Raw genomic sequence first — 8240 nt, 5'->3', positions numbered from 1 at the left:
TACATCAAGGACTCCAAGATAAAGAGAAAGTACAGGTGGCCTGTTATCATGGCTGACCATTGGACTGTGGACTGCACCTGAATCTACCAGGTTCTTCTGGGTAGTCCCAGTATTAAATTTTTGACCTGATAATCATGAACACAGTGCTACTGGTCAGACCTTTGTCCAGGTTTAAGCTTCAGAACATAATGTCTTCATGCAGTGGGAGGCCTGATTAGCGTTATGATTCTGCCCTGGGGCATCTGCCCCTTCTGACATGGAGGTAAACTTGGCATCTGCTACTTACCTCTACACTTGAACAGGCAAGGATGGGCTGAGCACAGAGGCTCACATCTGTAACTCCAGCACTTTGGGAAGTCAAGGCAGGAGGATCGCTTAAGGCCAGGAGTTCAAGACCAGCCTGGGCAGTATAGTGAGACCTCATCTCTGTAAAAACAAACAAACAAAACCGAGGATGGGTGGGTGACAGGGAGCAGTTCAACATGGGAAACCATTAATCTGAGAGCTGGAAGGACCCTTAGACCATCCCCCCATTAACAGATGAGACTCTGCCCTGAGATTATAGCCTAAAGCAATGCATTGAGCTTTTCTAGAGATTTGAAAATAATCAATCCTAAAACCCCCAAGCATACTGCTACTGTTTGCTGTTGGATAATGTTTTCTAGTCTGGGTGTGGTGGCTCCTGCCTGTAAACCCAACACTTTTGAAGGTCGAGGCAAGTGGATCACCTGAGGTCAGGAGTTCGAAACCAGCCTGGCCAACATGGTGAATCCACGTCTCTACAAAAATACAAAAAATTAGCAGGCCATCGTGGTGTGTGCCAGTAATCCCAGCTGCTTGGGAGGCTGAGGCAGGAGAATCCTTTGAACATGGGAGGCAGACATTGCAGTGAGCCGAGATCACACCATCGCACTCCAGCCTGGGCTACAAGAGTCAAATTCCATCTCAAAAATAATAATGATAATAATAATGTTTTCTACAAGCAAGGAGTTACTTAGTACTGTGAACCGGTGTGAAGGGATTTGCCATGTGTCAGCTTTTGGATTCATGACAGTTATTTCTAGATAACAGAGGTGGGAATGTTTGTTGATCATCTTCTATGTTCTTTGTTATATTGATTGATTTTTTAAAATTAGCATTTTTATAACAATAAAGTCATAAAAATAAGTAACTAAAATAAAGTAAAGTAATCTAAAAAGGCTGAGTGTGGTGGCTCATGCCTATAGTCCCAGCACTTTGGGAGGCCAAGATGGGTGGATCCCCTGAGGTCAGGAGTTCGAGACCAGCCTGACCAACATGGTGAAACCCCATCTCTACTGAAAATACAAAACTTAGCCAGACGTGGTGGCAGACACTTGTAATCCCAGCTACTCCAGAGGCTGAGGCAGGAGAATTGCTTGAACCAAGGAGAAGGTGCTTGCAGTGAGCTGAGATTGTGCCATTGCACTCCAGCCTGGGTGACAAGAGCTAAACTCCATCTCAAAACAAAACAGAACAAAAATCTAAATGTAATTGAGTTGAATATTTAAACTTTTAATTGACATTTCATATTAGATTCTAATTCCATTTAAAAGAGCATCTCGTAGAAGCAAATGAACTCAATTATATTAACTCTGTGGTTTCATTTAAGCAATTTGTTTTGTGAAGGGACACAAATCCAACCAGATTTTAACGGTGTATAAATATGTATTTATTAATTTAATTACTACGACAGTACTCTCAACTCCCCATTTGAATAAAGGAGAGCATCGGATCTGTGTTCTGGGACAGCGTGCACTATAGGTGTGTGGAAATACCGATGCCCTCAGCTGTGTGGCAGGCTCAGTGGGACCTGGAGTGCAGGAGCCCCTGGGCCATTCACCTCTGGCCACAAAAGTCATTGTCCATTTACCCCAAACTGCTATAGAAAGATTATTTTCAGTGGCTGTTATGATGCAAAAGAAAAGAAGCAGGGAGATTTATTAAACTTTTACATATAAGATATGTTAGTAAATAAAGTCTACTTTCTTCTGGCTTAACTAAAAATCTATACTAGTATTTATGCCTTTTGGAACTTAGAGATGCCAATTTAAAAATTAGGAAGCAAAACAACTGAGTATTGGATAAGACAGCCAAGTACAACTGCAGAATTGTAGAGGTTATGGGTTACATGTATAAGAATATTTCATAGCAATAATCTTTTAAGACTCTGTGAAGACACTCCACAGTGAAGCAGAAATTAGAACAGAATTAATAATACTGTGTATGCTCTCAGTTCACCAATTATTTATCAAAACTAGCTTTATGATACAGGAGGGTGTCTGCTCTTTTGCAGTTGGAAGAAAAGAAAGAATATTTTATTTTTTTGAGTCTTTAGATTTTCTTCACTAACAGTATTTCCAAGGCTAAGTAAGGGGGTTGCAAGTAACACCAAGAGAAAAAAGCAGTCTTGAGCAACTTTTTAAAAATGGTCTTAAAATATGGAAAATGGAGCCAGGTGTGGTGGCTCACTCTTGTGATCCCAGCACTATGGGAACCTGAGGGGGGAGGATTGCTTGAGGCCAAAAGTTTGAGACCAGCCTGGGCAGCATAGCAAGATCTCCATCATTGCAAAAAATAATATTTTTTTAAAAAATTAGCTGGATGTGGTGGTGCATGCCTTAGAGTCCCAGTTACTTGGAAGGCTGAGGTAGGAGGAGCTCTTGAGTCCAGGAGTTCAAGTGTGAAGTAAACTGTGATTGCACCACTGTCCTCAAGCCTGGGCAACAAAGTGAGACCTCTCTCTCTCTCTCTCTCTCTAGATATATATATATGGAAAAGAGAAGGTCCAAGAATATCAAAGACATTGAAGAAGAGGAAAGATTTGTCCTGCCAAATATCAGAACTTTTATAAAGCTACAGCAATTAAGACAGTGTGGTCCTCACTGATAAACTGACTAATGAAACAGAATAGAGAGCTCCCAAGCAAATCTCTACAAATTTAATCTTCGATACGTGATGTAGGTGACATGGCAGATCAGTAAGGAAAGAAAGGACTTTTCAATAAATAGAATAGAAAAATAATGGTTATTGATATAAGAAACAAAATGAAATTATATTCCTACTTCACTCTATATACAAACATTAAATTCCAGAGGACCAAAGACTTACATGTCAGAAACAAAACTTTAAAACTTTTAGTAGAAAATGTAAGTGAATGGGACACAAAAAGCCATTTAACCATTAAAAAAGATTAGACATTTTGACTATCACAAAATTAAGAACTTTTTACATCAAAAAGTGGAAAGATAGGCTGGTCACAGTGTCTCAATCCTGTAATCCCAATAGTATATCACCTGAGGTCAGGAGTTTGAGAGCAGGCTGGCCAACATGGTGAAACCCCATCTCTACTAAAAATACAAGAAATTAGCTGGGCATCAGTGGCAGACACCTGTAGTCCAAGCTACTTGGGAAGCTGAGGCATGAGAATCATCTCAACCCAGGAGGTGGAGGTTGCAGTGAGCCACTGCACTCCAGCCTGAATGACAGAGCCAGACTCTGTCTCAAAAACAAAAAAATTGAAATTAAAAAATAAAAGTAAAAAAGTCAAAAGATAAACTATAAATTAGAGAAGATATTTGCAGTACCTAAAACCTATGAAAGATTAATATCATATCAACTAAGCATAAGGAGCTCCTATGAATTAATTTTAAAAATAGCAACCCAACAGAAAATTGGGAAAAGACATTAATAGGGATTTCACAAAAGAGAAAGCTTGCAAAACATAAAAATTTTCTCAACCTCATTAGTAATCAGGGAAATGCACAAGATACTACACACCTATTCTCTCCACAAATATTAAGAAGTTTGACAATACCAAATGTATTAGTCCATATTCACACTGCTGATAAAGACATACCCGAGACAGGGAAGAAAAAGAGGCTTAAATGGATTAAGGGTTCCACATAGCTGAGGAGGCCTCAGAGTTATGGCGGTGGATGAACAGCACTTCTTACATGGCAGTGGCAAGAGAATATGAGAAGGAGGCAAAAGAAGCAAAAGACGAAACCACTAACCCATCAGATCTTGTGAGATTTATTCACTATCACAAGAATAGCATGGGAAAGACCAGCCCCAAAGATTCAACTACCTCCCCCTGATTCCCTCCCCGAACACATGGGAATCCTGAGCAGTACAATTCAAGTTGAGATGTGGGTAGGGACATAGTCAAACCATATTATTCTGCTCCTGGCCCCTCCAAATCTCATGTCCTCACACTTCAAATCCGATCATGCCTTCCCAACAGTCCCCCAAAGTCTTAACTCATTTCAGCATTAACCCAAATGTCCCCTGTCCAAAGTCTCATCTGAGACAAGGCAAGTCTCTTCTGCCTATGACCCTGTAAAATCCAAATCAAGCTAGTTACTTCCTAGATACAATCGGGGTACAGGTAATTGAGTAAATACAGCTGTTCCAAATGGGAGTAATTGGCCAAAAAAAAGGGGTTACAGGCCCCATGCAAGTCCAAAATCCAGCAAGGTAATCAAATTTTAAAGCTCCAAAATGATCTCCTTTGACTCCCTGTTTCACATCATGGTCATGCTGATACAAGAGGTGGGCTCCCACAGCCTTGTGTAGTTCTGCCCCTGTGGCTTTGTAGGGTATAGTCCACCTCGTGGCTGTTTTCATGGACTGATGTTGAGTGTCCATAGCTTTTCCAGGCTCATGGTGCAAGCTGTCAGTGAATCTACCATTCTGGGGTCTGGAGGAGAGTGGCCCTCTCCTCACAGCTCCACTAGGAAGTTCCCCAGTAAGGACTCTGTAGAGAGGCTCTGACCCCACATTTCTCTTCTGCAGAGCCCTAGCAGAGGTTCTCCATCAGAGCACCACCCCTGCAGCAAACTTCTGCTTGGATATCCAGATGTTTTCAAACATCCTCTGAAATCTAGGTGGAGGTTTCCAAACCTCAATTCTTGACTTCTATGCATGTGCAGGCTGAACACAACGTGGAAGCTGCCAAGGCTTGGTGTTTGCACTCTCAAGGCCATGGCCTGAGTTCTATGTTGGCCCCTTTCAGCCATGGCTGGAGGGGCTGAAACGCAGAGAAACAAGGCCCTAGGCTACACACAGCACAGTGAACCTGGCCCAGCCCAGAAATCCATTTTATCCTCCTAGGCCCCGGGCTTGTGATGGGAGGGGCTGCTGTGATGACCTATGACATGTCCTGTAGACATTTTCCCCATTGTTTTTGGGATTAACATTCAGCTTCTTGTTACTTATGCAAATTTCTGCAGACACCTTGAATTTATCCTCAGAAAATGGGATTTTCTTCTCTATCACATTGTCAGGCTGCAAATTTTCCAAAACTGTATGCTCTGCTTCCTTTATAAAACCGAAGGCCTTTAACATCACCCGAGTCACCTCTTGAATGCTTTATTGCTTAGAAATTTCTTCCAGCAGATACCCTAAATTATCACTCTCAAGTTCAAAGTTCCACAAATCTCTAGGACAGAGGCAAAATGCTGCCATTCTCTTTGCTAAAACATAACGAGAGTTACCTTTGCTCCAGTTCACAACAAGTTCCTCATCTCCATCTGAGACCACCTCAGCCTGGACCTTATTGTTCAAAACACTATCAGCATTTTTGTCAAAGTCATTCAGCAAGTCTCTAGGAGGTTCCAAAGTTTCCCACATTTTCCAGTGTTCTACTGAGCCCTCCAAACTGTTCCAACCTCTGCCTGTTACCAAGTTTCAAAGTTGCTTGCACATTTTTGGGTACTTTTTTAAGGAGCACCTCACTCCACTGGTATCAATTTACTGTATTAGTCTGCTTTCACCCTGCTGATAAAGACATACTCAAGTCTGAGAAGAAAAAGAGGTGTAAAGAAAAAGAACTGTAATTGGATTTACAGTCCCAAATGGTGAGGGGGGCCTCAGAATCATGGCAGGAGGTGAAAGGCACTTCTTATATGGCAGAAGCAAGAGAAAATGAGGAGGAAGCCAAAGCAGAAACTCCTGATAAACCCATCATATCTCATGAGACTTATTCACTATCATGAGAATAGCACAGGGAAGACTGGCCTCCGTGATTCAATTACCTCACCCTGGGTCCCTCCCATAACATGTGGGAATTCTGGGAGATAGAATTCAAGCTGAGATTTGGGTGTGGTCACAGCCAAACCATATCACCAAATATGGAGAGACTGTGGATCAACAAGATCATCTCAAACTAATACAGGAGGTGAGAGTTTAAATTAGAACAACCACTTTGGAAAGCAATTTGGATTATCTTATAAGTTTGAGCATTCTCATATGTTATGGCAAAGTAATTCCTCTACCATAGGCCCTGGAGAAACTCTTGCCCATATGTACCAGAGGTAGTAAAAAAAAAAAAACGCTCATGTAATTCCATTCATAATAGCGAATATATGGAAACAAGCCAGATTTTCATTAATAGGAGAATGGGTAAATTAATAGGATAATGGGTAAATAAATTATACCCTTAAAAACTAAATAATATATCATTTAAGGTAATCATATGTATGAAATAAACAATGTTTTTTTTTTAAAGGAAGAGAATCCTAAACATAAATTCAGGGTAGTAGTTACCCTCGGGCTGAAGGGTGAAAATCAGGAAAAAGGACAGAGGAGGAGCAGATGTTAGGGTCAGAACCCTGGTTCTTTGGTTGTGTTGTAAGTTCACAAGTGATTACCATATTATTCAAATACATTTACACAGAGGCCCAGGCACAGACAAGGATGAAATAGGAGCCAAGGTATGCTATGAGCCAAGGATTATGAGTAATCCAGTTTTGTGCACTTTAAGCCATTTGAAAAACAGAAAAGCAAAACAACAAAATAATTTTTAAGAAATTGAATATAGGGTGTTATGCTCTGAATGTGTCCCCCTAAAATTAATCACCAATGTCATAAGATTAGGAAGTAGGGCTTTAAGGTAGTGATTCAGTCATGAAGGGAGAGTGTTCACGAATGAGTTTAGGATCCTTACACAAGGACTGGATGGAGTGGGCTTCCCCTGTTTTGCCCTTCCACCTTCTGCCATGTGAGGACACAGTGCATCTCCTCCTGAAGACACAGTGCACAAGATACCATCTTGGATGCAGAGACCAGACCCTCACCAGACACCAATCCTGCTGGCACCTTGATCTTGGACTTCTAGCCTATGGAACTGTGAGAAATACATTTCTGTTCTTCAGAAATTACCCAGCCTAGTGTATTTTCTATATAGTAGTACAAACTCATTAAGGCACAATTCCTCTTGTCATTTTCTTCTACAATTTTCTTTGTTGCCTCTTTAGCACTGGGTCATTTTATATTTGATCCTTCATAATATCTCTTACTTTTGGTTTTTCACATTTCTGTTCCAAATGTATTCTTAGATACATATTTTCCACTATTAGCCTCAGGGTTTGCCTGGGAGTGTGTATTTCTGTGCCACCGCTGTAGGACTGTGTGTGTGTGTGTGTCTCCCATTCTCTCTTCTCTCTCTGTCTCTCACCCTCTGTGTGTTTCTTTCCCTCTCTCTGTCGGTCTGTGTGTGTGTGTTTGTGTGCGTATGCCCGTGTGCGTGTGTGTCTTTGGACGAATGTGCTCTGTTCGCCAAAATGCAATTTTTTGCATGTTGGCCAGTCTTTGGTGAGCCTCTTTCTGCATCTCTGCCTGGGTCCTGTGGCCGGTTGTCCATCGTTTTCACGGCGGTTCCACTTTGGGTTTGTGAAGGCCTTGATCACTTGAGGAGACGCGTCGGTCCCAGAGCAATCAAAGTCTCATCCGCATCCTGAGCGGCTTCTTTTCTAGGATCAAGAGGACCACACTCCAGCCCAGGACAAAACCCCACAGCAGCTCATTGTCCGGCAGGAGAGGAGAAGACCCACCTCCAAGAAGATGGTTGTACCCCTGCACGGCTCTTCTCTGAGCAATGAAGCCACACCACCATACAATTCTGAAGAGGAAGCCGGGAATGGGAGACGGCAACAATCCCTGTCCCTGGAATGCTGGCCTCTCTGGACAAGTCACGCGTTTCGCACCCCTCCCCTTATGCCCGTGGCAGTGGCAAGGTTCTGTAACCTGCCTGGGCTCTGGCCTCTGCTCTGTCCTCCCTCTTGCCCGGTCTCCCCTGTTTCTGAGGGGACTAGTTGCCTCTTGGTCTGGCTGAATAACTTCTACGAAGATCGCTTCCCAGTCCATCAGGGAGACACTTCCTGTAGATCCTTGTCATGACTCCTTCTCTCTCCAAACCTGTTTCTGCTGGATTGGGCAGG

The 8240-nt window shown here is 42.3% G+C and overlaps 1 long non-coding RNA gene across 1 annotated transcript in view; it reads left to right on the top strand.

Annotated features, from left to right (window-relative positions):
- Positions 1–6677: 6677 nt before the first annotated feature.
- Positions 6678–8240, top strand: part of FAM182B (family with sequence similarity 182 member B) — a 37840-nt gene continuing 36277 nt past the window's right edge. The window contains exon 1 of the long non-coding RNA NR_026714.2: positions 6678–7149. This is a non-coding gene — a long non-coding RNA (family with sequence similarity 182 member B). The remainder of the gene's footprint in view (positions 7150–8240) is intronic.

Source organism: Homo sapiens, chromosome 20 (assembly GCF_000001405.40).
Source record: "Homo sapiens chromosome 20, GRCh38.p14 Primary Assembly".
In the NCBI taxonomy this organism is placed as follows: Eukaryota; Metazoa; Chordata; class Mammalia; order Primates; family Hominidae; genus Homo; species Homo sapiens.
The sequence above is the reverse complement of the archived record's forward strand: the minus strand, read 5'-3'. Positions and strand labels throughout refer to the sequence as shown.